This window comes from Homo sapiens, chromosome 22 (assembly GCF_000001405.40).
Source record: "Homo sapiens chromosome 22, GRCh38.p14 Primary Assembly".
Taxonomy (NCBI): domain Eukaryota; kingdom Metazoa; phylum Chordata; class Mammalia; order Primates; family Hominidae; genus Homo; species Homo sapiens.
This window is the reverse complement of record NC_000022.11, coordinates 25931321-25958482: the sequence shown is the minus strand read 5'-3', so window position 1 is coordinate 25958482 and position 27162 is coordinate 25931321. Positions and strand designations below refer to the sequence as shown.

At 46.8% G+C, this 27162-nt stretch overlaps 1 protein-coding gene across 14 annotated transcripts in view, besides 3 other annotated features; it reads right to left on the bottom strand.

Moving 5' to 3' along the window:
• Window positions 1-27162, bottom strand: part of MYO18B (myosin XVIIIB) — a 321660-nt gene that overhangs the window by 105365 nt on the left and 189133 nt on the right. For all 14 annotated transcript variants that reach the window (XM_011530461.3, XM_011530458.3, XM_017029014.2 and 11 more), the window contains 5 exons: window positions 12233-12346; window positions 10655-10771; window positions 8033-8116; window positions 6060-6197; window positions 3119-3304 (listed from right to left, as the gene is read on the bottom strand). In XM_011530461.3, coding sequence (XP_011528763.1) covers window positions 3119-3304; window positions 6060-6197; window positions 8033-8116; window positions 10655-10771; window positions 12233-12346 — 639 coding nt within the window. The remainder of the gene's footprint in view (window positions 1-3118; window positions 3305-6059; window positions 6198-8032; window positions 8117-10654; window positions 10772-12232; window positions 12347-27162) is intronic.
• Window positions 14725-15261: an enhancer, noted in NCBI's record as "OCT4-NANOG-H3K27ac-H3K4me1 hESC enhancer chr22:26339189-26339725 (GRCh37/hg19 assembly coordinates)". NCBI's record gives its function as "activates a minimal SCP1, AML or CMV promoter by ChIP-STARR-seq in naive and primed H9 embryonic stem cells {active_cell/tissue: H9 hESC(naive and primed)}" and the evidence as "EXISTENCE:reporter gene assay evidence [ECO:0000049][PMID:30033119]".
• Window positions 15262-15799: an enhancer, noted in NCBI's record as "OCT4-NANOG-H3K27ac-H3K4me1 hESC enhancer chr22:26338651-26339188 (GRCh37/hg19 assembly coordinates)". NCBI's record gives its function as "activates a minimal SCP1, AML or CMV promoter by ChIP-STARR-seq in naive and primed H9 embryonic stem cells {active_cell/tissue: H9 hESC(naive and primed)}" and the evidence as "EXISTENCE:reporter gene assay evidence [ECO:0000049][PMID:30033119]".
• Window positions 22653-23276: an enhancer, noted in NCBI's record as "NANOG-H3K27ac-H3K4me1 hESC enhancer chr22:26331174-26331797 (GRCh37/hg19 assembly coordinates)". NCBI's record gives its function as "activates a minimal SCP1, AML or CMV promoter by ChIP-STARR-seq in naive H9 embryonic stem cells {active_cell/tissue: H9 hESC(naive)}" and the evidence as "EXISTENCE:reporter gene assay evidence [ECO:0000049][PMID:30033119]".

The following is a 27162-nucleotide window of genomic DNA, read 5'->3' as shown; positions in this document are numbered from 1 at the left end:
AAGGCAAAGGAAATATTTGAGAGCAAATAGGTTGGTGAGTTTTAGGACATCCAGTATTTGGAAGAGGCTGCTGGCCCGACCTTATTCGTGGAGCTTTGTTCTTCCACAGAAGCATTAAGGAAACGACAGGATGTACTGGATAACTTCAGAATGCCAACCAAGCAGAAATGTGCCTTCCTCTTCTGTAGTGGGTTGGAGGGTTGCCTCCCAAAAGACAAGTCCACCTGGGACTTGTGAATGTGATCTCATTTAGAAAAAGGGTTTGTAGGCCAGGCGCGGTGGCTCATGCCTGTTAATTCCAACACTTCGGGAGGCCAAGGTGGGTGGATCACCTGAGGTCAGGGGTTCGAGACTAGCTTGGCCAACATGGTGAAACCCCGCCTCTACTAAAAATACAAAAATTAGCTGGGCATGGTGGCGCGCATCTGTAGTCTCAGCTACTTGGGATGCTGAGGCAGGAGAAGTGATTGAACCCAGGAGGCAGAGGTTGCAGTGAGCTGAGATTGTGCCACTGCACTCCAGCCTGGGAGACAGAGCAAGACTCTGTTTCCAAAAAAAAAAAAAAAAAAAGCAAAAGCGTTTGTAGATATGATTAAGGTGAGGATCTTAAGGTGAGATCAACGTGGATTTAGAGTGAGCCCTGAATCCAATTACAGTTGTCCTTATAAGAAAAAGGCAGAGGGATATTTGGGACACACATACACAGAAAAGAAAGCCATGTGAAGAAAGCCATCACTGAGGCAGCCGCAAACCAAGGAGCACCTGGAGCCATCAGAAGCTGGAAGAGGCAAGGAAGGATGCTCTTCCAGAGCCTTCAGAGGGAGTGTAGCCCTGTTCACACCTTGATTTCAGACTTCAGGCCTCCAGAACTATGAGAGAATGAATTTCTGTTGTTTTAAGCTATGCAGCTTGTGATAATTTGCTATGGCAATCCTAGGAAACGAACACTCCTTTCAACCACACTCACCAAACTAAAGAGAAAAGTTCAGCTTTGATAAACTTATCCAGAATCTTGCCATCAGAAATTGGAGACAGATGCAGGTCTAATTTCAGCATGCATGCAAGCTCTTTAAGGTTTTGTGTTGTGTCCATTTTGATTCATATGTGGGAACTATGCTATAATCTTTTCAGTATTTCAGGGCCTTTCAAGATCAGAATATGGCCCCAGGAATGGGGACAGGGAGAGGAAAGAGAGAAAAGAGGGAAGGAGAGAAGAGACAGAGAAAAAGAGGTCAAGGGACAGAGAGGAAGAAAATCACTATTTGATCTGGACAGAATGCCTGAGTGCCTGGCTAGTTAAAGAAGACATCAGAGGAGAAAGGCTGGGGATGTTCTCTCCTCCCAGCCAGAGCTTGCAGGAGGGGTGCTCAGCTGCATGAGAAATGGGGCTGGTTAATGAGGAAGTTATCCTGTCAACTGGAGGAAAGAGCTTTTCTCTCTCCCAGGGCCATGGGTGTGGAGGAACCGCCAGTCAGGAGGCCTGGACTTTGTCTGGGAACCTCTGTCTCTGTGCGGTGCCTTACTGCCCCCTCACAGAAGAACCAGACAGCCAGCTTGTCAAGGGCAAAGCTGATGGGGATGACACCGGCTGTGAAAGACAGTAGCCCGAGACATATTAATATATTTGCTGCAGGAAGAACAAGTTGGTAAGACCTCTCACAGCACCAGAGCGGATAATGCAGGAAGGAGAAAACAAATGTAATTTAGAGACCTCTGGGCCAAGGCTTGGCATATTGTGGGCTGTCTCTAGAAGGCTGAGTGATGGTAGGCGATAGGGGTGCCAGATACACCCCAGGTCACAGAATCAGAAATCTGGAACCTTAGTGATATCTGGCCCCGTGGAGAAAAAGTGGAACAGTCACTCTTAGATGCTCTGTGACCTGTGCAGAAAACTTCTTAGAACAACACACTGAATGATGGAGAAACCTTCCCATTAGGCAAGAAACAAATTTTAAAATGTTCCTTGGGGCCGGGCGCAGTGGCTCACACTTGTAATCCTAGCACTTTGGGTGGCCGAAGTGGGCAGATTGCCTGAGCTCAAGAGTTTGAGACCAGCCTGGGCCACAAAGTGAAACCCTGTCTCTACTAAAATACAAAAAATTAGACGGACATGGTGGCTCATGCCCGTAGTCCCAGCTACTCAGGAAGCTGAGCCACGAGAATCGCTTGAACCTGGGAGATGGAGATTATAGTGAGCTGAGATCGTGCCACTGCACCCCAGCCTGGCAAACAGTGCAAGACTCTGTCTCCAGGGAAAAAAAAAAAAAAAAGGTTCCTCGGTCCATCCTGGAGACAAAATATGAGTTAGTGACTAAAAGCAGAGACTACATTGTCAGGCAGCCTTGGGTTCAAATTCTTACTCCTGTGTGACCCTGGGCAAGCAAATGGACCATTCGGAGCCTCAATTTGGCAAGTTGATATCTCCACGTGTCAGTTTCCCCACCTTTTTAAGGGACATCAAGATAGCACCTACCTCACAGTTCTGAAATGAGGATTTAGACGAGAAATGTTTCCTTCAGAACCTGGTAGGGAGCAAATACTTCACACATGGTGGCTTGAATCATCATTTGTATCTTTTATTTTTGTTGTGCTATTAACAGCCCAGAAATAGCTCTATGTTTACTAGATGTGGCCTTAGACTAGTCATCTCCCCTTCTGGAAGGCTCGGTTTGTCCTCATCTGTGAAATGGGGGCAATAATTCTGACTTCACAGGGCTGACATGAGGATTATAGAATATTATGGATATTGAGACCTGGTGAAAGATAGGCCGTTAATAAATACCGGTTTTTTCCTCTTTTGTATGAGGCCTTCCTGCCATTGGAGTGGAATGAATGGAGCAGGAAAAGAAAGTCTGGGATCTGATATGTAAATGAACTTGGCAGCCATCCGGCAGCAGTGAATGTCATTGGTCCACTTTGGGCCCACCTCCAGGGTTTGCAGCCAATGACGGTGTTGTCTCAGCCCACTCTCCCCTTCTTGTTTCTCCTGGCTTTCCGCACACCCCTGAGGCCCAGGACCCAAACCTATGAGTCTCCCATTCAGAAGTCTTAAGAAAGGGGGGTCTACCACATTGCAAACCCTCAGTCGCTAAGAGCCCATGATGGGGACAGGACTCACCAGCTCCATGCACCGCCGGCTGGCCTCTGCCTCCCGCTGCACCAGCTCTTCCATGTCGGCCTTCAGCTCTTCCAGGCGCCGCTGGTAGTACTGGCTGCTCTCCCGCTGCTGGGACTCGGAGGTGGCCGCCTGTGAAAGCTCCTCCCCCATCTTGATCAGGCTGTCCCGAAGCCGGATCACCAGGACCTGGGAGGGGCAGAGACACATGCCCACCTTGGAGTTGGAGGCCAGGGGTATGAAACAAGGGAGCCTCAGGAAGATAAATCCTTTGCCGAGTTTCCTGTGTTTTCATAATCAGGATAAGAATACTGATGTCTGCTACAAAAATGAAGAATTAACAACATGCAAAAAATGATGGTCGGGCGCAGTGCTCAAGCCTGTAATCCCAGCACTTTGGGAGGCCGAGGCATGTGGATTACCTGAGGTCAGGAATTAGAGACCAGCCTGGCCAACATGGCGAAATCCCTTCTCTAAGAAATACAAAAATTAGCCGGGCGTGGTGGCGCATGCCTGTAATCCCTGCTACTTGGGAGGCTGAGGCATGAGAATTGCCTGAACCTGGGAGGTGGAGGTTGTAGTGAGCCAAGATCACGCCACTGCACTCCAGCCTGGGTGACAGAGAGAGACCCTGTCTCGAAAAAATAAATAAATAAATAAAATAACTGCTATTCTGAGAGGCAGTGTAGCGTATTTATGAGAACCCTTGCCCCCAAGACCCTCTGGGTTCAAATCCCACCTCTACCTCTCCCTGGCTATGTGACCTTGGGCACGTTATGGAGGCCCTCTGAGAGACAGGGATGATGATAGTACCTGTGTCCCAGGGACGCTGTCAGAATCTAATTTCTTGGTATGCAGAAGGCTTGGGTGCCTGGCACATAGGATGTGCCAGATAAGGGATGGGGGATTATTAATTCTTTTTTTTTTTTAGCAGCTCCTATTTATCTCGAGGGGCTGGTGCAATGAAGAGAGAACTCTGCTGAAGTCAAAAACCTTTCCCCCACATGTGTTTTTGTTTCCTGATTTATAAAATGAGGGTGTTCAGATAATTTCTCATGAGCCTCAGCCCTACTATTTTATGACATTTTTCCTTTCCTGGTGGCAGGGGGGATGGGGAATCCTTGAGGACACAATGAAACAATAGAGAGAAAAGTGCTTTGGCCATCACGAGTGCCACACAAAACAAACCCAAAGACTGTTCTGCAGAATTCATTAGTTGGCCAACAAGCCGGGAACCAATCGATCCTGATGGGCAAATACTCTAGTGTTGACATAAGACGGGACCCACATGAATATTTCAAGCCCCTGCTAAGGACTTTGAGCCCTTTTTCTGCAGCCACAGGCAGTGGGGATAACAGCCTGCAGATCAGACACCAAATAATAACCTAAAAGAAATGCTTTCCTATTCAGTTCACCTCTCAAATGAAGTTCAGCCACAATTCCAAGAACAGCAGGAAGAGTGGAAGGAGTTCTCAAACTGTGTCTTTGAGGTACCCCATCTCTACACCTCAAAGACCCAGGATTCTACTAAATTCAAATCATAGTGGCAGAGGGCAAAATTGAATTTGGAGATAGAATTTTTCCATTTGAAGTTTTCCCACATTCATTTTCTTTTCTCCTCTGCTGTCATTTCACTACGCTAGACACAAGTTTTAAAATGGCATGTGATATAGCCCAACTTTACATATTTAATTATTTAAAATATAGTAGATCAAAGTTTCATGGTGATCTGCAGAGACAGTCAGACCTTGAGGGATCCCTTGAGCAATTTCTGGGAACCACTGAGGGTCAAAGCAAAGAAGAATTTCTCTCTGTTCTTCATCCATAGCAGCCTTATTGGAGACCAGATGCCCCTAGGGAGATCAAGGGGAAATGTTTCAGAATGAGGAATGCAGCCTCCCAACTGTCTAGACGCACTGTCTTACTGTGGTGAAGCCAGCTGGCTGCAGAGAAATTGGAACCTGTAACCAGGAGGAAGTGAAGGTCAGGTGTCCATCTACCTTATCCCACGCACTGCCTGGCTTTATCTTCAGCAAGTCACTTGACCTCTCCGGGGTCATCTTCTCATCAGATAAGGCTTATCCTACCTGCCTCACAGGACTGTATCAAACCTCAAGTGGAGTGGCTTATGTGAAAGGATTTTGACAATGGTGATGTCTTCTGTAAGAGTCCCATGTCACTGGCCTACAGAGCTGAAGAAGTGAACACCTGTGTTCCCAGCTCAAGGGCAATGTGAATGTAATCACTGAACCTCACCCCAGCCCATCCAAGTCTTACCTGTCCTTCAAGGTTCAGCATTAATGCCACCTCCTCCCAGAAGCCCTCCTGATTCCAGAGTCTTGAAAAGATCTCTATCCTCTAAACATCACAGCCCTCTCTCCATATTACAGATATTTATGTACATATCTTACCCACATTGCTTACAAAGACATATGCTTCTGAAAGCAGATCTGTGTCATACATCTGTCTTCTGTGCACCTAAAACAGGGCCTAGCCCACACTGGGTGCAAAATAAATTTCTGTTCAAAATGAGTGTTGGGCATGTAAGTGGTTGAGTAGGTGGACGGAGGTAGGAAGAACTGGATCAATGCATAGAAGAATGGGCAGACAGAGGGGTTGAGGGCTAAAGAAAAAATAATAGAGGAAGAGAGGAAAAAGTAAAGGTGAAAGGAAGAACAAATGGAAGGGAGGATGGATGAATGGACCCATGATGGTGGAAGGAGATGGAGAGACATACGTGAGGATAGATGGGTAAATGGGTAGGTGGCTTGAGGGATGATGCTATGATGGAAGGAGGGAGGGAGCTTGGGTGAGAAGTGGATGAGTAATGTATATCTAGATGAAGGCATGTGAGTAGATAGATGAGTAGTAGAAGGATGGATGAAGCTTACACAAAAGCTCTCCCTGCTCTTGGCCCAGGCACTATTTATGAATCACTACGTACCTCAAATCTCTTAATCTGCACCTTCTGGAACTCTGTCTTGTTCTCTAGGTCACAGATGACCGCCTCCTGCCTGCTGACGATGGCTCGATCCACGGTGGACTGTTCCAGGTACTCGATGCGCATCTGAGCCACCTGCAGCTGTAAGTATGAGAGAAGTCTATTGGACATCTGTTGTCCCTGATACCAGGACAGAGACATGTGCAGGACCCAGCCTGGGAGGGTGGGAGGAGCTATTCACACCACCTCCTTCTCTACTCAGGTGTGCTGCATGTTAAATGTCTGCACAAGCAAGAATGGCCAGGTGTCAATCTTGGGACCTTCACTGGACCCTCACACCAGACCCTGATCCTGGGTCTCAGGTGCTGGGAGGTGATGCTTCTTATGCCTTCACAATTGAAAACAAGACTTTTAATCAGTGCTTCCCTTCTCTCCTTCCCTGCTCTGATCAAGGAGCAAAGCTAGTCTGTGAGCAACAAGCTACAGCATCAAAAGATACAAGCAAGTGTGGGTTTGGGAGCCAGGTTTCTGCCTGGTGTGTGAGTCTGAGAAAGTCAGTTCCTTTCCTTGAGCCTTGGTTTCTTCATTTTTCTTGTGAGGATTAGAGGAGATTAGTGACTGGCACATAATAAGCAGCCAGCAAATGGCCACTGCTGCTGTTCCATTTGTTGTGCGTGTTGTTATCCAGCACCCATAGGAAATTGCTTGAGACCTGGTCACTCCAACAGTCACTTTAAGCAGGTGCATGCCAGGGTTCTAGAAGAGCTTTGAAAATTTCATGGATAATAGCAACCCTCTAGGTAATGATGGAAAGCCAGAGATGTTTGGAGGGACCATGACTTCAAAGGAAGATTTCGCAGAGGATCGTGATCCTGTCTTGCACAGACCATCTCTTGTTCTTGGAGCCATTTCTCAGACGGAGAAAATTCTGCACTGAATGGCTGAATCTCAGTGCATGGGGCACGCTTGGATTCAGCACAAGCACAGGCCAAGAGTAAATGAGTGTGAGTGTGTGTGCATGTGTCTGTCTAAGGACTGGTCTCAATTCACCTCGCACACAACTGGAATTGAGTGAGTATTTGAATGAACTGATGAATAAAAGAATGAAGGAAACAGTTTCCAGGAGCCAAAGTATAAGTAAGTGCCCAGGGAGAATCCCTCTCTTCCTCCCTGTGATGGTTAATACTGAGTGTCAACTTGATTCCATTGAAGGACACAAAGTATTGATCCTGGGTGTATCTGTGAGGTTGTTGCCAAAAGAGATTAACATCTGAGTCAGTGGGCTGGGGAAGGCAGATCCACCCTTAATCTGGTGGGCACCATCTAATCAGCTTCCAGAGAATATAAAGCAGGCAGGAAAACGTGAAAAGGAGAGAGATGGGCCTTAGCCTCCCAGCCTACATCTTTCTCCCGTGCTGGATGCTTCTTGCCCTTGAACATTGAATTCCAAGTTCTTCAGTTTTGGGACTCGGACTGGCTCTCCTTGCTCCTTAGCTTGCAGAAGGCCTATTGTGGGACCTTGTGGTCATGTAAGTTAATACTTAACGTATTTCCCAGCTGGGCCTGGTGGTTCACACCTATAATCCCAGCACTTTGGGAGACTGAGAAGGGCGGATCACCTGAGGTCAGGAGTTAGAGACCAGCCTAACCAACATGGTAGAACCCCGTCTCTACTTAAAAAACAAAAATTAGCCAGGCATGGTGGCGGGTGTCTGTAATCCCAGCTACTTGGGAGGCTGAGGCGGGAGAATCGCTTGAACCTGGCAGGCAGAGGTTGCAGTGAGCCAAGATCGCGCCACTTCACTCCAGTCTGGGTGACAGAGTGAGACTCTTGTCTCAAAAATAAATAAACAAATAAACAAACAATAAACTCATACACACACACACACACACACACACACACACACATCCTATTAGTTCTGTCCCTCTAAGAAAACCCTGACTAATACAACTATAGGATGGCTCTGAGCACATACTTGTTCTTGTAGCTTGTGCTTCTCCTTCTTGGCTTCCTCCAGCTGCAGCTGCAGTTCTTGGATCTGCCCAATGTCAGCAGCAGACTGGTGAGACAAAAAAAAAAATGTATATATATCACCCTGAGTCCACAAGCCTTGCTGGGAAACCACCCCTGAAAATCCCTACTTTCCCCACCCACAGATGTCTACATCTCTCAGAGCTTCTATGATAATAGCTGTTTCCCAAAAATTACCTCTCACATCCTCCTCACCATCTTTCATTTCAATGTTCGCTGAGTCACTCCAATTATATAAGCCCCTGGATTTGGTCCACTGTCCAGCATTTTATTATATACCCTTGAGAACCCAGACAGAAGTGGGCTGGCCATGGCACTAGGACCAGATTCCGAGGGATGAGAGCTACTCGGAGGGTCATTTAACTGAGCTTCTAGACCTGGACCCTGGCCTTAGCAAGCTGTGGAGCCTCTCTGCACCTGAGTCTCTGCATTCGTAAAACGGACTGACAATCTCAGCTCAGCCTTTCCGTATTGGGTTTGTTCAGAGATCAAATTAAGCAGTGGAGAGTAAAGGTTTTTTTTAAAATAGAACCAACTGTTGAGCTTCATTACCTCTGAAGAGAGGAATTCTAGAGGGTAGAAACACCTCTTTACTTTCTATTTCTTGTATCTTTATTATTTAAATTATTTATTATGGGCATATGCATATAGTGCCTTTGTAACTGAACAGATTAACCTCTCTTTGAGGCAAAAATAAGTGTGATTCGCAAGTGGAGACATTGGCATAGGCTATTTTTGTGGTGTTTGTTACCATGTGGATGATATCATCAATTATTTTGTTATTATTATTCCTTGTCCAGCAGAAATCCCTTCAGATCCAACCTCTGTCAGATGCATTTAGAGCGTGGCAGGTATTTTACCCCGGCTCTCCTCTGGATGGTGTATTGCAAGGAGGGAGCTGTTCTCCCCATTATGCAGTCATTATGTGGAGATCTGCTGGGGATTCCACATCATACCCCTCAGCTTCACCCCAAAGCTTCTGTTTCACCCATGCTGCCCTCATGGCTCCCGATCATCTCCCAAGCCCATCCATCCACTCCTCCTCATCTTCACTCCATCTACCAGGCTGGAGTTGTCTTTCCCCTGGACAAAGTCAGCTTTCATTTATTCAACAGTGATTTACTGAGCACCTCCAGGGCAGACACCCTTCTTGGCTCTGAATACAGCACTGGACAAGGCAGAGGAGAGTCCTGCCTTTATGGAGATGACAGTCTGGGGTGGCATGCTGGCTGCTCCTCTCCAACTGCTCTTGCCCCTGAAAAGCTTGCCAATTGATTCCCTTCAACCATAAAATAAAACCCAATCTCATAACAGCCTCTAAGACCCTGATCTGATCCTCTTCTTTTGCTGAGCTTGTCTTGTGCCAGATTGTCCTCACTGGTCTCCTTTCAGTCTCTCCAATGCACCATCACAGGCCCTTTGTATGTGCTATTTCCTCTGCTTGGAAGGCACCCCCAATCCCCAATGTCCCACTCCAATCTAAGTGACTCCTATTCTTTGTTCAGATCTCCATCCAAATGACACCTACTCTGGGAAGCCCTTCCTGACTCCCAACCTAGGTCAGGATTTGCAGAATTGTGTACACTTCCTTTCTGGACTCTTGGCTCAGTTTGCAAGTCTGCCCTCTGCTCTGGGTGACCATATGATAAGGTCTTCCCAGCCCACTAAACTGTGAGGTACATGAAGGTGGGAATGGGATGTGCTTCTGATCACCACAATATACTTAGCATTTTTCACAGTGCCTAACACATGGCAAGGATTCAGTAAATATTGAATAAATAGCTACAGATAGAAAGATAAGAAGAAAGAAAGAAAGAGGGGGAAAGAAGAAAAAGAGAAAGAGAAAGGAAGGAAGGAAGGAAGGAAGAAAGAAAGAAGGAAAGAGAAAAGAGAGGAAAGAAAGAAAGAGAAAGAAAGAAAGAAAGAAAGAAAGAAGGAAGGAAGGAAGGAAGGAAGGAAGGAAGGAAGGAAGGAAGGAAGGAAGGAAAGACAGGAAAAAGAAAAGAAAATGATGGTTGGATAGGTGGATAGGTGAATAAATGGGTAAGCGGTGGTAGGATGGATGAATGGATAAATGAATGGATGGCTGCATGGATGGATAAATGAATGGAAAGATGGATGGATGACTGGATAGATGGATAAATGGTTGGACAGACAGATGGATGGGTGGTTGGGTGGATGGGTGGATGATTGGATGGACGGATGGATGGATGGACAATGGATAGATGGATAGTTAAGTGGGTGAATGAGTAGATGGGTGGAAAAGTGAATGGGTGAATTGATGAGCAGATGAATGATCGATGGGTGGGTGGATGGGCAGACAGATGCATGAATAAGTCCAAATCTTTCATGGTGGACACGTCCTCCAGAGATGCACACACCATCTGAAGGTGACATTGTCCTCCATTAGGACCACAGGAAATGCACAATTCCTAACTATCTCTGTGCACTTATCCCTCCAAGATGTTAAGACCAGGGAGTAGTCCAACCACATCACCTTCTCAACATTCCCCATTCACCCCACCCCAAGTCCCTGAGCTTCTTCCACCAAGGTCTCATTCACTACCTGAGCAATGAGGTCCTTGTGCTTCTGCATCAGCTCATTCAGGTCATCCTGGTCCTCATCGATGCGCTTCAGGAGGTCCGCCTTCTCAAACTGCAGCCTGTACAGCTGCTCATCCACCTGGGGGAGGCAGATCAGTGGTCAAGGCAAGGTGAGAGGGTGAGGGATGGGCAGCAAGGTCCAGAGGAAGAGCAAAGAGGGGCTTGCCTATAGGTGTGTGAGGTGAGTGACCATCAATGTTTAAGAGTGGCTGTGGTTACCAATGCATGTGGTAGGTATAACAGCTTGGTGTGTGTGTGTGTGTGTGTGTGTGTGTGTGTGTGTGTGTGTGTGTGTGTGTGTGTATTAGGCATTACATGTGACTATGAATTCAGGGTGTATGTGTGTATGAATTTATGTCTGTGCAATCCCACTTGGGAATCTATGTGTGCACATTTTAAATGTGCCTAGTACATATATGAAAATGCAAATCCCGGCGCTCTCCCTGAGAACAGGGACTTTGTTCTGTCCACAAACATAACCTCAGCAGCAAGCACCAGGCCAGCCCTATAACAGGTGCTCAATAAATATGTATTGGGTGGATGAATAAACTTGGAGGCACAGGTTACCTATACGGAGGGCATTTATTTTGTATGTGTGCCTGGTGATCGCACGTGAATATGTACATTCATTCCTGTGTATACACGTGTGCGCATGTATGTGTATGTGTGTGTGTGAATGCTTGTAGGCAAGTTCCAACAACATAAGGGACAAAAAGGCCCACAGAGATCTTGAGATAAGCATTTGCCTATAAAACTCGAACTATACCTAAACTTTAGTGTTTTATACATTGAGTATAAATCTAAGCCAACCCTGTACACCCAGATAGGGGACTTGGAAACCTACATCCAATTCTCACCAAAATAATACATCGACAATATATGTCCATGTGTCCCCATTCAGGGGTGAGCACAGGGTAGTTCCATAATAAATGGCTCAAATCTTCTCCTGGTAATAAGCCTAAGCGGGCCAAGAGATGCCCTTGTCTCCACTTACTAGAGGGGACATGCAGTAGCCCCACAATAAGGAACAAGTTCCATCTCATGATGGTGAGCACACAGTAGGACCACAGCAGATGTCTGAGAACCACTTAGAGTGGCAAGCAGGGTGGGCACACAACATACAGTTGTGTTTCCACATTGGGTACTGAGCAAATAACAAGCTCACATCAGATGCACATTCACAGCACTGAGCACCCATTATGTCCACAACAGACTTCCTTGCTTATCGTTGCAGATGGGAACACACAGTTGAGCCTCGCTGATGCCCTTATATCTTTATAATGCTCAGCTGACAGTAGGATGCCTGCACATTCAGAACGCTGAGCACCTAGTAGGTCTACAATAAGTCCCCTTGTCCCTCTTACAGAGCTGAGCACATAAAAGGCCTACAATGGATGTCTGTACCTCCAAGGTGCTACCTGGTAGGTTTACAATAAATGTCCTCATACTTCCTATAGTGCTGAGCGCACACTAGGCCCACACTAGCTCCCAGAGGCCTATGCTGGCCCAGGTCCCTGCAGCTGCAGGAAGGGACAGGTACCAGGCTCTTGTTCCGCGTCATGTTCTCCAGCTCGCTGTGCATGCTCTCCAGGTCCGCTGTGAGCACCTTCTGCGTCTTCAAGGCCTCCTCACACTTGGCTTCACTCTGCTCCAGCTGGACCAGGCAAGAGGTGGAGAAGAGAAGAAAAGAAAATGAGAAGGGAAGAGGGGAAGGGAGGTGGGGAGGGGAGGGAAGGTGGGAGGGGAGGGGAGGTGGGAGGGGAGGGGAGGTGGGAGGGGAGGGGAGGGGAGGTGGGAGGGGAGGGGGGAAGAGAGCGGAGGGGAAGGGAGAGGGGAGGGGAGGCGAGGCGAGGCAAGGCAAGGGGAGGTGAGGGGAGGGTAGGGGAGGCGAGGGGAGGGGAGGGGAGGCGAGGGGAGGGGAGGGGAGGGGAGGCGAGGGGAGGGGAGGGGAGGGGAGGGGAGGCGAGGGGAGGGGAGGGGAGGGGAGGCGAGGGGAGGGGAGGGGAGGGGAGGCGAGGGGAGGGGAGGCGAGGGGAGGGGAGGGGAGGCGAGGGGAGGCGAGGGGAGGGGAGGGGAGGCGAGGGGAGAGGGGAGGCGAGGGGAGAGGAGAGGCCTCCTCATGAGGCTGCCTCCTTCAATGTCCTTCCCCTCTAGCTCAGCCCAGCCCCTCCCAGGCATGGGATTAATATACAGGCGGCCCTCATGTCTTCACAACTATTCATCAACTCACACCTGGGAGAAAGCAAATAAATTTGCATTTGAAGCTGCCAGGTTCTGAGCCCACTCAAAATGTCACCCCTGGTGCATCACCAGGAGTTATTCTTCAGTTCCATTCAGCAAATCCTTGCTGAAGCCCATTCAGTGCCAGGCACTGGACATGCAGGGAACAATCAAGCTGGCCCCTGCCCTCTCAGTGGGAGACAGGCAAGAACAGCTAATGACAACCTCTTTGTGCAGTAGAGGAAAGAGGGTGACACTGGCACAGTGGAAACACAGGATGGGAATTGAGGGAGGCTTCCTGTAGGAGGTGGTTTGACGGCCCATGGGAACCAGCCAAGTGGAAGTTTCTTAACCAGGGTTCAGGGTTAAAAGTGGGTCCACAGACCCCCTTTAAAAGGGTATGCAAAATATTCTGCATGTGAGCATTTAGCATTTTGCTGGGTTCATAGCTTTCACTAGATCCTCGAAGGCTAAGAGACACCGACTTAAATAAAGCTCTTTCTCACACTTTTCTTTCTCTCTTTTCCTCCCAGCTGCACACAGTAGGCCTCCTATCCTAGCAAAGTGGAGTCATCAAGATTCATCCAATTACTTATGTACGTGGCCCCAGGTGACAGACACGCCCCACTGGAGAAACCCATATTCATGCACATACCCTAAATCCATTCTGCAGTTGGCAGCTGCCTCTTCTGAACTCTAACTCAGCTTTTTTTTTTTTTTTTTTGAGATGGAGTCTTGCTCTGTCGCCCACGATGGAGTGCAGTGCCACGATCTCAGCTCACTGCGACCTCCACCTCCCGGGTTCCAGCGATTCTCCTGCCTCAGCCTCTGGAGTAGCTGGGACTACAGGCGCCTGCCACCATGCACGGCTAATTTTTGTTTTTTAGTAGAGACGGGGTTTCATCATATTGGCCAGGCTGGTCTTGAACTCCTGACCTTGTGATCTGCCCGCCTCGGCCTCCCACAGTGCTAGGATTACAGGCGTGAGCCACCATGCCCAGCCTAACTCAGCTCATTTATAATGTTCAGCTCACAGCAGGATGCCTGCACATTCAGAGTGCTGAACATTTAGCAGGTCTACAGTAAGTCCCGTTGGCCCTCTTATCCCCCTTTTCTGTATCTCGGAACAGAAAACACTCTTAGAAATCACCTAAGGTAAACATTCGGGGCTCAGAGAGGGATGGGTCACAACTCACAAAACCCCCTTTTCCAGCCCCTGAGAAAAATGTATTCCTGCAGTTGGGCCCAGCAAAAGAGGGCTGGGGGCCCATTTCAGTCGGCAAATGGGAGGGATTGAGACACACTGAGAAAATTGATGTAGAGCAAAGGAAGGTAATTGGCCTTGTTAGAGCATAATGGACAGAAGAAGTGAGATGTCAGGCCTGGTCTTATTTTCCAGCAGGTAACTCAAGTGCCTCTGCCATGGCTAGGAGGTGGGTGATAGGGCTGCCCTGAAGGCAGGCAGGGCAAAACCAGCCCCTCTTTTGAGAAGTCAGAGGACTCATGAAGGAGAAGCACTTAAGCTAAGACCTAAAAGATGCAAAGGAAGGGCTGGTTGCGGTGGCTCACACCTGTAATCCCAGCACTGTGGGAGGTTGAGACGGGCAGATCACCTGAGGTCAGGAGTTCAAGACCAGCCTGACCAACATGGTGAAACCCCATCTCTATTAAAAATACAAAAAAATTAGCCGGGTATGGTGGTACATACCTGTAATCCCAGCTACTTGGGAGGCTGAGGCAGGAAAATTGCTTGAACCCGGGAGGCAGAGGTTGCAGTGAGCCGAGATCGCACCATTGCACTCCAGCCTGGGTAACAAGACCGAAACTCCGTCTCAGAAAAAAAAAAAAAAAAAAAAAAAGGAAAGAAAGAAACAAGATGCAAAGTAGATGGCCATGTGCAGAGCGCACTGGGCAGCAGCAATAGCAAGTGCAAAGGCCCTGAGGCAGAGACAGGAACTAACGGTGGTGCTGAGGAACAGAAACCTCACTAGTGCGGCAGGGCAGCTGCACAGAGAAGGAGAGGAGGAGGAGATGCTGAAGATGTGGACGCGGGTCACATCTCTGAGGCTTGTGAGCTGGGCTACAAAGCTTAGATTTTATTTCAGTCTGCCAGGAAGCCATGGATGGTTTCTAAGGAGGTAGGTGGCCTAATCTCCCTCTGGCTGCTGTGGGGAGGGTGGGACCAGATTGCAAATAGGGCAGCCAGTGAGGGGATCGCCATGGTCCTGCAGGAAGGAGGCGGTGGAGGTGCTCCAGCCGGGGTGGAAGGGGTGGAAGTGGAAAGAAATGGAAGAATCGGCACAGCAGGGCATGCAAACAACAAAAGGTCTGGGCGGCAGGAGCAGATGGGCCATCAAGGGAGATGATGTCAGATAACTAATGGTGGAAGAGGAGGCCTCACGCAGGGCCCCTCTGCCAGGCCAAGGAGCTGGGCTGGGAGCCAGGAGGCAAGAGAGAGTCATTGTAAATAAAGCAACAGGGCAAAGCAGAACACGATGACACAGTTCCCATCTGCCCAGCCCCTACTTCAGCAGAGGGTTTCAGCAGCATGATCCCGCCAGTCCTCGGAGCCCCTGGAGAAAGGAGACTCTATTTTTATCCCCATTTTATAGATGGCATAATGGTGCATGATCCAGAAATGCTCTTTCCTTTCCCTTCTTTCCTTGGAGCAAGCAGAGAGAGGGACGACTTATCCCCAGAGAGAGATGAACACAGACAGCAGTCAATGGAGACAGCTGCTGGCCTTCTTAGCTCATACTGGGCTGGAGATAGGATTATCTTGGCCCTGATGGTTTTGGCATTAGCAGTCCCACCTGCTACTGTTGCTTGGGGACCATGTTCAAGGCACTGTGCTTTCTCTGCCTTGCTTCATGACAGCCCCACAGCACCTCTAGGAGAAAGGTGCCACCATTAGGACCTTTTGATAAAGGCGGACTCTGAGACACACAGAGGGGAAGTGACTTGTTCACCATCACAGAGCTGGTCTGTGGAGAGCCTGCTTGCTCCAACGCCAGAGCCCAAGCTCTTAACTACTGAGCTTCACTGCCCCTCATAGAAAGCCACTCACTGGGAGGTCTGACCACACAGACGGAATGGATCAAAATAAAGAGAGAGCTCTGTTGCAGAGAAAACAGCTCAGTGGTTTCGTGCTATAACGGAAACCTCTTAGGCAGCATCAGGAGAGCCTGGACTAAGTTGGGAGTCTGTAAAATGACAGAACTCGGAGTTTGAGCAAATGTGGTGGAAATATGCATCATTCCTGGAACCTGCCAGGGATGAACACATTCATTCCGAAGGACAGAGGAAGGAAACCAACGTTACCAACACTAAGTGCCAGATTTCACTGTGTGTGTGGTTCAGAGCTTGGGCACTGGAGCCAGACCTGAGGCAGTCTGCTTCTGCCAGCAGCACCGTCTTGCTATGCCTCAGTTTTCCTCCTCTATAAAATAGGGATGGTTCCATCACAGGATGTCTGCAGGATACATGGATGAAAACATGCAAAGTGCTTACACAGTGTCTGGCAGTGAGAAAACATTACAAAATGGTAACAATTGTCGTTGTGAGCTCCTTTCATCCCTGGGAAGTGGGAATTTTTAACTCCATTTTAGAGAGAAAGAAAATGAAGCGGAAGCCAAAAGAATGGGCCAAGTTTACACAGTCAGGATAAGCAGGGCCTCAGCACTGACCATCTTGAGGAATTTTAGCCTTCCTGTTCCACTGGGATGGGTAGAGGGAGGTCAGTGTCCCAGAGGCACACAAGTCAAGCAGGTCTAGATTTTAAGAGGATCTGGATAGACCAGACCAGGCATTTCCCAGCCCAAGACCTCCACGGGGCAGGCCCCAGGCCGCTGCTGACAAGCTGTCTTCATGCTGAGCTTTAAAAGTTTCAATTTATTGCACTTTAGGGAGCAGAAAGAAATATGGGGCCACCTCTGGCTGATTTTTTATTATGGATGACCCAGCATAAGAAGAATTCACTGCACATTATTTCCATACGGAGGCTGTTTGACTGATGTTTTTATGAAGTCGGTGGCAAGTCATGTTAAGGACAGAGATCAGATCCTTCAGTGGCGCAACACTGGCCAGACTCGCCTTTGAAAATGCCTTCCCCTGAGGAGCTCCAGGAAGAGCCATCAGAGAGCAGTGGGTAGTAAAGGTGGTTGGGTTGACAGGCGACAGGGAAGAATTATTGATGTTCACTCTCCAACCCTTGTGGCCAGTGTGACAATGAGGACCTGAGGTGACAGCTGACACTTCCCACCTTTCGACTCTGAGTAATCATCACGTCCCCATGGACAAGGCCTCTCAGGGGTGGAGAGGTTTAGGGTGAGATGAAGGTCCTGCAATTTCCATCTGTCTCCCGACCTAGTGTGGGCTGGATCCCAATAGACCCTCAACAACACATCTGATTTGATTTTAGTTTAAGTTCATTAGATTTTTGTTTCTCTTCCAATTTTTACTTTTTGTAAAATCAATAGAACAATGGCATGAGTATGTGGGTACAAAGCACCAAAACACTTTCAATAGCTAGAAAAAGCACCTTCCTCCGTGCGTACTAAGTCATTCTATTGTTCTCTAATTAAATCAGCCCGGCTTCCCCAGATCTGCTCGAATTCTGCAAGGCAGGCATCTACGGAGGGCTTCATTGCCTACTATTCCCTTGGGATAGGACCCTTCTTCTACTAAATAGTAAAATGTTCATTCCAAGTCCTCCCCATACTGTAGTTACAGAGGGAAACATGCTTCAGATCTTATGCATAAATTAAGTGCTGCTAAGCTTTGGCCTGGGGATATTTGGTGGGGCCCTGACTCTTCTGTGATTGTGGGTCCTGGAAGCCTGGAGTTCACAGGGGTAAGATGAGATGAGCTCCATCTAGGGTCAAAGAATGGGAGGGAAGGAGAGGTTGCATTCTCTCTATGTTCTCTACCACCGGGGGGATGTTTAACATCACACAGTATCATGTGGTGGTTAGGAGCAGACCCAAAGGTCAGGCAGAATTGGGATTTCAGTCCCAGTACCTCCATCTATGAGCCTGTGACCTTGGGCAGGTTACTGAACTTTGATTTTTCCCATGCGTATTAGTCTGTTCTCACACTACTAATAAAGACATACCTGAGACTGGATAATTTATAAAGGAAAGAGGTATACTGGACTCACAGTTCCACATGACTGGGGAGGCCTCAAAATCACGGCAGAAGGCAAAGGAGAAGCAAAGGCATGTCTTACATGGGTGCAATCAAGAGGGCATGTGCAGGGAAACTCCCCTTTATAAAACCAGATCTCGTGAGACTTATTCACTATCACAAGACCAGCATGGGAAAGACTTGCTCCCCAAGATTCAAACACCTCCCAGCAGTTCCCTCTCATGACACGTGGGAATTATGGGAGCTACTTTTGATTCAAGATGAGATTTGTGTGGGAACATAGCCAAACCATATCATCATCCAAAAAATGGGGGACAAAATGATTTGCGTTCATTGAGTAGGACTGCTGAGTACAGCTGTATCAGTTGTGCACTGTACAAGCCTAGGAGATGCCATGCACAAAGGTTATGAGCATGAGCTGTTACTCTGTGCCAGACACTGCTCTGAACACTTTTCATGTATTAATTCATCTAACTTTCAGAATAGCACTCCGAGGTAGGGTCAACAACCATTCCTGTTGTTATAGTTGAGGAAACTGAGGAATAGAGAGGTTGAGTGACTTACTGATGGTCATTCAAGTACTAAATGGCAGAGCTGGGATATGAACCCAGGTAGTCTGGTCATGAAGTTCCCACTCTGAGCCATTACCTTGCTCTCCCTTGGAAACAATAGTGCCCACTACAGACGCTCTGTACAAAAAATGTGGTATGGTACATGCCCAGCATCCACTTCCCATTCTTTTGAGAGAAGGACCCCATCTTCCCTGTGATAAATATCCATCTCCAAACATCCATGTGCTTTGATGGTGCAGATCCTGCTCCCCAAGCTCAAAGAGGGGCACATGACCCAGCCTACCCAATCAGAGCATCGCCTCCTGTTGGCCACAGTGGTTGGTTCTGTAATAACGACATGGTTGACACCAAGATTTTTGCTGAGACTATGAAAATAAAGTTCACTCTTTCTGAAGCAGGATAAAAGCTTGGAAAGTCTGGGCAAGATCGAAGAGTCTGCCTAAGAATACAAGATGGAACATGCTTAAGATATAAGCTGCTGTTGTATCTTAAAGCTGACCTAAGAGGTGGCAGAGACATAATCTTGATGACATGATTGGGGTACCTAGATCTAGCCAAACCTGAAGGCAGTCCTAGCCTCAGAACTTTTCAGATATTTTGGCCAATAACTTCCCTTTTTCTATGCAAGCCAATTTGAACTGGGTTACCACCCAAAACCCAGATACAAATGAGTGAATTAAAGGAGGTAATGCATACATGATGTTAGCCACAGAATAAACACTCAAAAGACATTGCTATCTGTCAGGCATGGTGGCTTATGCCTGTAATCCTAGCATGTTGTGAGGCCGAGGTGGGAGCATCACTTGAGGCCACGAGTTCCAGACCAGCCTAGGCACCATAGCTAGACCTCATCTCTATAAAGAGCAAAAAATTAGCTGGGCATGGTGGAGCGCCTGTAGTCCCAGCTACCCAGGAGGGTGAGACAGGAAGATTCCTTGAGCCCAGGAATGAAAGGCTGCTGTGAGCTATGATCACACCACTGCACTCCAGCTTGGGCAATCCCATCTCTTAAAAAAGCAAAACCAAACACTTCCATAGTGTTAATTGATGCTAATCTACCAAAAAAGTTGGATCAAAGTGGTTCCACCCAAAACCCTGTGACAGAGTAACAATTATTTACTGTTTACCTGTTCTGTGTATGGATCCTTACCCATAGGAGGATCAATATTTCCCTTTCCCGATTACTCATCGAGGGGGAAAGAGGGAAGGAGATTTCTTCAACACTCACTACATTACGCACTGCGTGGCCACTTAAAATTCATTATCACTATAGCCCACAACAGCCCTGCAAGGAAGCAGTCAGCCTTCATTATTTCACAAATGAGAAAACTGCAGCCCAGGAAGAAGTGATTTGCCCAAGGTCAGACTTGTGTGCTAGTGGTTGAGACTCCAAACCCATGCCCTTCCTGGGCCACCCCAAAGACTCCTCTACACACTAGTCTCTGTTCCTGAGCTAAATCTAGGCATTCTCTCCCCTCACCCACCTCTGTTTCATTCAGTGTGAGGCCAATTGAGATTCCTATCACATATACATCAACTACAAACTGTTGAATAGCATTACTTCTCTATGCGAAGCCATCTGCCTGCTTTAAATACCTAGGTGAAATGTTTGCTAGGATTTGTTAAGCTACTAGATGAGTTGACTAGACATATGGAATGAGGTGTGGAGAGGAAAAATTCCAGTCTTTGGGCAGAATGGTTAGAACCTGGATTTCTGGGTCTGGTTGAACAACTGAGGGGATTTAAAAATAGTGCATCACAAACACCACAGGGAAAGCATTCTGGTTAAGAAATGGTGTCTTTGGAAGGCTATTCTCAACACATCCCAGGCCTTGACATCCCATCAGGGTACTTGAAAGAACCAACCTTCAACATTAAGGCTTTCCCTGAAGGGAATCACCCACAGATCAAACTAGAGACAGCCCTAACATCAAACAAAATTGTTAAATGCAAACATATTAAGAATGTCGGCCGGGAGCGGTGGCTCACACCTGTAATCCCAGCATTTTGGAAGGCCGAGGCATGCAGATCACCTGAGGTCAGGAGTTCAAGACCAACCTGACCAACATGGAGAAACCCCATCTCTACTAAAAATACAAAATCAGCCAGGCGCGGTGGTGCATGCCTGTAATCCCAGCTACTCGGGAGGCTGAGGCAGGAGAATCGCTTGAACCTGGGAGGCAGAGGTTGTGGTGAGCTGAGATGGCGCCATTGCACTCCAGCCTGGGCAACAAGAGTGAAACTCCATCTCAAAAAAAAAAAAAAAAAGAATGTCAGGCCAGGTCCACCAATGGTCTGTGCAGCCCAGAAGTCTGATGACAGTGGCCATGGGGGAGAATATCTTAAGACAGTGTGGTGGCTACTCTTGGTGCCTTTTAACTTAAACTATTTGGGTATATATTGAATATTCCATAATTTTCATGACATTCTGCTCCAGACCATCACTTATCAATGTATCAAAACACTTCCCTGCTGGGCATGGTGGCTTACAGCTGTAATCCCAGATCTTTGGGAGGCCGAGGCAAACGAATCGGTTGAGGCCAAGAGTTTGAGATCAGCCTGGGCAACATGGTAAGACCCACCTCTACAAAAAATACAAAAGTTAGCCGGGCATGGTGGTGCACACCCATTAATCCCAGCTATTCGGGAGGCTGAGATGGGAGAACTGCTTGAACCCAGGAAGCAGAGGCTGCAGTGAGCCAAGATCACGCCACTCACTGCACTCCCGCCTGGGTGACAGAGCAAGATTCTGTCTCAAAAAAAAAAATCTTCCTGAATATTTATTTTTCTATCTTCTTCAAAGTAATAATAAATATTATTATTAGTAGTAGGATAATCACAACTACTTAGTATCAAGTGTTTACCACATTGCCAGAGACAGAATTCTGTCCCCTAGAAATGTGTATGTTGAAGCCACCCCCTAATGTGATGGTATTAGGAGATGAGGCTTTGGGGAGGTAATAAGGTTTAGATCAGGTCATGAGGGTGGGGCCTCCATGATGAGATTCGTGCCCTTAGAAGAAGAAACACCAAAAAGTTCCTTCCTCTCTACCATGTGAGGACACAGAGAGAAGGCATTTGTCTGTCTGTAGGCCAGGAAGAGAGCCCACAGCAGAACCCAGGCATGCTGGTACCCTGATCTCAGACTTCCAGCCTCCAGAACTATAATAAATAAATGTCTGTTACTGAAGCTACCTAGTTTAATTTACGGTATTTTTTTATGGCAGCCTGAGCTGATTAAGACATGTTAATTTATAACATGTAACATTTCTAGGAAGTAGCTGTTTTCAGTTTCAGATGAGGAAACTGAGGCACAGACAGGTTAGTTAACTCATCAATGTCACACAGCTAATAGTGAAGGTGGCAGAATCTGAACCGAGGTCTCTTTTAAGTCCACAGCTTTTTCCTGTAAGTCCTGTGGAATATGTTCACCACCTGCTGAGTAAAGCAGGCCTCCTTTCACTTGTCTTAAGTCTATTTCTTTGAGGGTTCAAGAGTCCTCCTAATTTTTTGTATTTTAGGATCTAAGGACTGCTTGAATCCTCCACCACTGAACAGACTTCAAAAGCTTCTATCCTGACTTCCTCTCTGGTGATGATGAATCTGGATCACACTGATGCTCCAAAGAGAGAAAGAAAAATAGAAAAGCAGGATAAAACATCCAAAAAAGGCCCTCCCCGATCCCCGTCTCATTTACATCCCTCTTTTATTATATTCCAGCACCCCTTTGCTCCCCTAAACAGCACCAGGTCTTGTGCCTCCACGTCTGTCTCCCCACTGGACACTGGGCTCCTGGAGGGTCACCTGGCTCTTGTTCAACTCTGGGTCCTGACATAGTATGAACTCGACACATGTCGTGTACTGAGAGACTGAGGCAGACACGTGAGCTCAGCAGCATCAGTGAACCCGCAGGGTGAGCCAGGACTGCCTGACTCTGTAGCCTGTCTGCACTGCATGCATCCTTGGGAAGAAGCCCGCAACCAGGAGTGCTCCCCCATCCTCCATGCATAGGTCTCTAACCCAGATACCCACAGTGTCCACAGGAAGGACAAGGGGTGGGACCTGTGGGCAGGATCCCCCTCTGTAGGAGGAAATGACCTGGACAGGGAGGGTGACCACAGCCTTATTCACCAGACCCCACATACCCGAGCTGGTACCTTTCTTCAGAGCCAGAAGGAGGGTACTCTGGGAGAAACAAGGGAAGCCCAATTATAACCAAGTACCCCCATTTTTCTAAGACACAGGGTTTTTTTTTTTCTCTTCTTTTCTCCTTTCCCCTTTCCCTCTACTTCCTACTTAGCCCTTTTTGAAATGCAAAATAACCTCTCACCTCCCCCTCACCCAATGTTTCCTATAGAGCAAGTTCATCTATGTGCTCCAAGATGAATTTCTCCTCCAGAGCAGACAATTGATTTGGAAATCAAAGCATGTCCCCAGGAAAGTACCCCCTCCAGGGGGTTGCCTCAGGAGGGCATGCCTAAGGCATGACCACTCGGCCACTTTTACAACTTACTCTTGCCCAGAAAGGTGCCAACTCAACTGCCCACTAGGTAACTACCTGGTAGCAGGGAGACCCCCCTCCCTTGCTCACTCTCCTCCTGACCTTATGGAAGTGTCTGCTTTTTGCTCCAAAGGCAAAGCGGCACATTTAAAGTAGGATGTTTTGTGCCCTTCTCCCAAGCTAGCTTCAGAAATGAACTCACTTTTCCTGTACCAGGCCTGGTTCTTGTTAATTGGACTCTACATGCGGTGGCCAGCAACTAACCCAATTTTCAGTTACACTATTAATGGTCAGGGCAGAGGGCATTTTAATGAGATTTCTCTTTAATAAGTGGATTATTTTGCTAAAAAGAAAACACACCGCGTGTGTGCACACACCCACACGAGCCTGGAAACCACCAGCGTAATTCAAATCCTAGCAGAAACTGATTGAGCACTGAGGGACGGAACCACGAGTAGTGAAAGGAAAATATCTTGAGCCCCCGAATCACTAAGCTAGACAGAAAATTCAAGCTGGGAACTGCTCAGGGCAAATCTGCCCTCATTCTATTCAAAGTCATCCCTCTGCTCACTGAGATAGATGCATATTCTGACTGCCTCCTTTGGAAAGGCTTATCAGAAACTCAAAAGAATGCAACCATTTTTCTCTCACCTACCTGTGACCTGGAAGCCCCCTCCCAGCTTTGAGCCGTCCCTGCCTTTCTGGACAAAACCACTGTACTTCTTACACATATTGATTGATGTCTCATGTCTCCCTAAAATGTATAAAACCAAGCTGTGCCCCGACCACCTTGGGCACTTCGTCAGGACTTCCTGAGGCTGTCACAGGCGCACGTCCTCAACCTTGGAGAAATAAACTTTCTAAATTAACTGAGACCTGCCTCAAATTCTGGGGGTTCACAGAGTCTTGGCCATGGAGGTAGACTTTCCATCATCCTGCACCACTCCCAACTCACCAGAATATCCAGCTAAACAGAACACCCTCTGCCTGACCAACTGATTTAAAATTTGGATTCTAAGATGTTTAACACTGACCCATTAGATTACATCAAAATCAAGAATTTCTCTTCATAAAAAGACACCACCAAGAAAATGTAATGGTCAACCCTAAAGTGAGAGAAAATAATGGCAATAGACATATGTAGCAAAGAGCTTCTATCAAAGTATCCCACAAATCACTAAGAAAAATACAAACAACCCAACAGAAAAATAAGCATATGCCTTGGACAGGTAAAAATAAATATCGAAATGGATGATATACTTTGAAAAGGTGAACATCAGAGAAGTGCAAAATAGAATAAAAAATATTCTCCTTCCCTCGGAATGGCTAAAATGCCAACAACTGATAATAATACCAACTGCCAGCCATGACAGGAAGCCAGTAGGACTTTCATGTTCTGTTGATGGGAATGTAAATGTCTACAGGTACCTTGGAAATTTATTTTGTAGTATCTGCTAAAGACAAAAACCATGTGTACTATGACCCAGAGATACCACACTTCTAGTTATGCACCCTACAGAAATGCATACATTTGCTCCCCTCCCATAAAATAATGTGCAAAAAAATGTTCATACTGGCTCTATTCATAACCAAAACCTAGACAAAACCCACATATCCATAAACAGCAACATGGATAAGATAAATTGTGGTAGTCACATACAACCGCAACAACAATAAACCAATTATTAGGTTGGTGCAAAAGTAACTGCAGTTTTTGCCATTAATTTAATGCCATTACTTTTTGCCATTACTTTAATTGCCTAAAACACACGCAATAATATCAATATAGCTCACATGCATAAATAGAGGGAAAAAAGGCAAGATACAAGGCCAGCACATGTGGATGGTGAGAATTTCTCTAACGAGAAACATGGGAAGACAGAAGACAAAAGGCCTGTGTGGAAGGGGACAGGTTCTCACACTGGCATTTGGTTCATCACCCTTTCTGCTAAAACCACCAGTTGGCTTTTGAGAACTGGCTTTACTGCAAAGGCCAGGTGGAGGGTGGGGCCAGGGTAAGGAGATTTTATCTTCCCCAGGATTACTCAGTGCTTGAGACACTGGTGCTAGGATGACAAGCTCATCCCTTTTGGTCTGGGACTTTCTGGTTTTAAAAGTCCTTTGTCCTGGGAATCTCAGACCTGCATAAATAAAAATGGCTCTGAAATTGGAAAGAAATAGGGGTTCACATTCCAGTTCACCCAAAATTGAGGAACATTCTACAATGCAACTGGCCTGAACTCTCCAAAAAATGTCAGTATCATAAAAAAAGACAGACTGAGGAACTATGACACCATGAAAATAATGGAAGCAGTTTTACTTTCCAAGTTGGATCCTAAATTGGGAGATAAATTGCTATAACGGACACTGGGGGGTAATTGGCAAAATTTAAAAAGACAGCAGATAAAATCAGGGGTCAGATAATAATTATTTTAGGCTTGGCAGGTCAAGAGGCAAAATCAAGTATATATGTGGGTACTTACATAACCACCTTAAATGTAACCATTTAAAAACAAAAAAAAAAATTCTTTGCTCACCAGCTATAATAAAATAAACAAACAAAAACCACAAAGAAACATGCAGTTGGCTGGACTTGGCTTTTGGGCCCTAGTTTGCCAACTCCTGGATTAGAAAATATTTTTAGGCAGGGCGCAGTGGCTCACACCTGTAATCCCAGCACTTTGGGAGGCCGAGGTGGACAGATCACCTGAGGTCGGGAGTTTGAGACCAGCCTGACCAACGTGGAGAAATCCCGTCTCTACTAAAAATACAAAAAATTAGCCGGGCATGGTGACGCATGCCTATAATCCCAGCTACTTGGGAGGCTGAGACAGCGGAATCGCTTGAACCCAGGAGGCAGAGATTGTGGTGAGCTGAGATCATGCCACTGCACTCCAGCCTGGGCGACAAGAGCAAAACTGTGTCTCAAAGAAAAAAAAAAGAAAGAAAAGAAAAAAGAAAAGAAAAGAAAAGAGAAAGAAGGAAAGAAAGAAAGGGAAGAAAGAAGGAAGGAAGGATTTTTATCAATATTAAATTTTGTGATTTTGATTAGGATACAGGGGCACCATGTCTTTAACTTGCTTTTAGATAATTCAGAAAATTTATAGAGAGAACCAGATCGCAAATGTGGAAAAATATTAAAAGTTGATGAATCTGGGTGAAAAACTTAAATAAGCCCTTTGAACTATTCTTGCAACTTCTCTGTAAGTTTTAAATTCTTTCAAAATATATTTTCTTAAATCTCAGTTCCATCCATCTCTGTGACTTTGAGCAATTTGCCTCTACGCAGAGCCTCCTCCTGTATAAAATGGGCATAGGCTGGGCGTGTTGGCTCAAGCCTGTAATCCCAGCACTTTGGGAGGTTGAGGCTGGAGGATCGCTTGAGCCCAGGAGTTTCAGACCAGCCTGGGCAACATGGTGAAACCTCATCTCTACAAAAAAACAAACAAACAACAACAAAAATTAGCTGGACATGATGGTGAAACTTCATCTCTACCAAAAAAAAAAAAAAATTAGCAGGGCATGGTGGCACATGCCAGCTACTTGGGAGGCTGAGGTGGGAGGATTGCTTGAGCCTGAAATGTTGAGGCTGCAGTGAGCCATGATTGAGCCACTGCACTCTAGCCTTGGTGACAGAGCAAGACCCTGTCTCAAAAAAAAAAAAAAAAAAAGAAAAAAGAAAAAAAAAGAAAAGGCATAATACTAGCTGTCTCCTCTCCTCTGGAGTCTGGCCACCACCTGTCCGGTCTCTCCCCACTCATTCACTGAGCACTTGCTGTATACAGTCACACTCCCACACACTGGTTCAAAACAGAAAAGGCTCCTGCCATTGCAGAATTCACTGCACTCAAGTGGGTTTGGGGGATATAATCAGGTCATGACGTTGATATATTTGGCACCATGACTAGCACAGTGTAAAGAATCAATGTTCCCCGTCAATATCGTTGCTGTAGAATAGTTATCACGACCTTGACAGGCCCCTCCATGACTAAATGGTAACAGGTCCTTTTGGGGAGATGTCCCCGCCTTCTT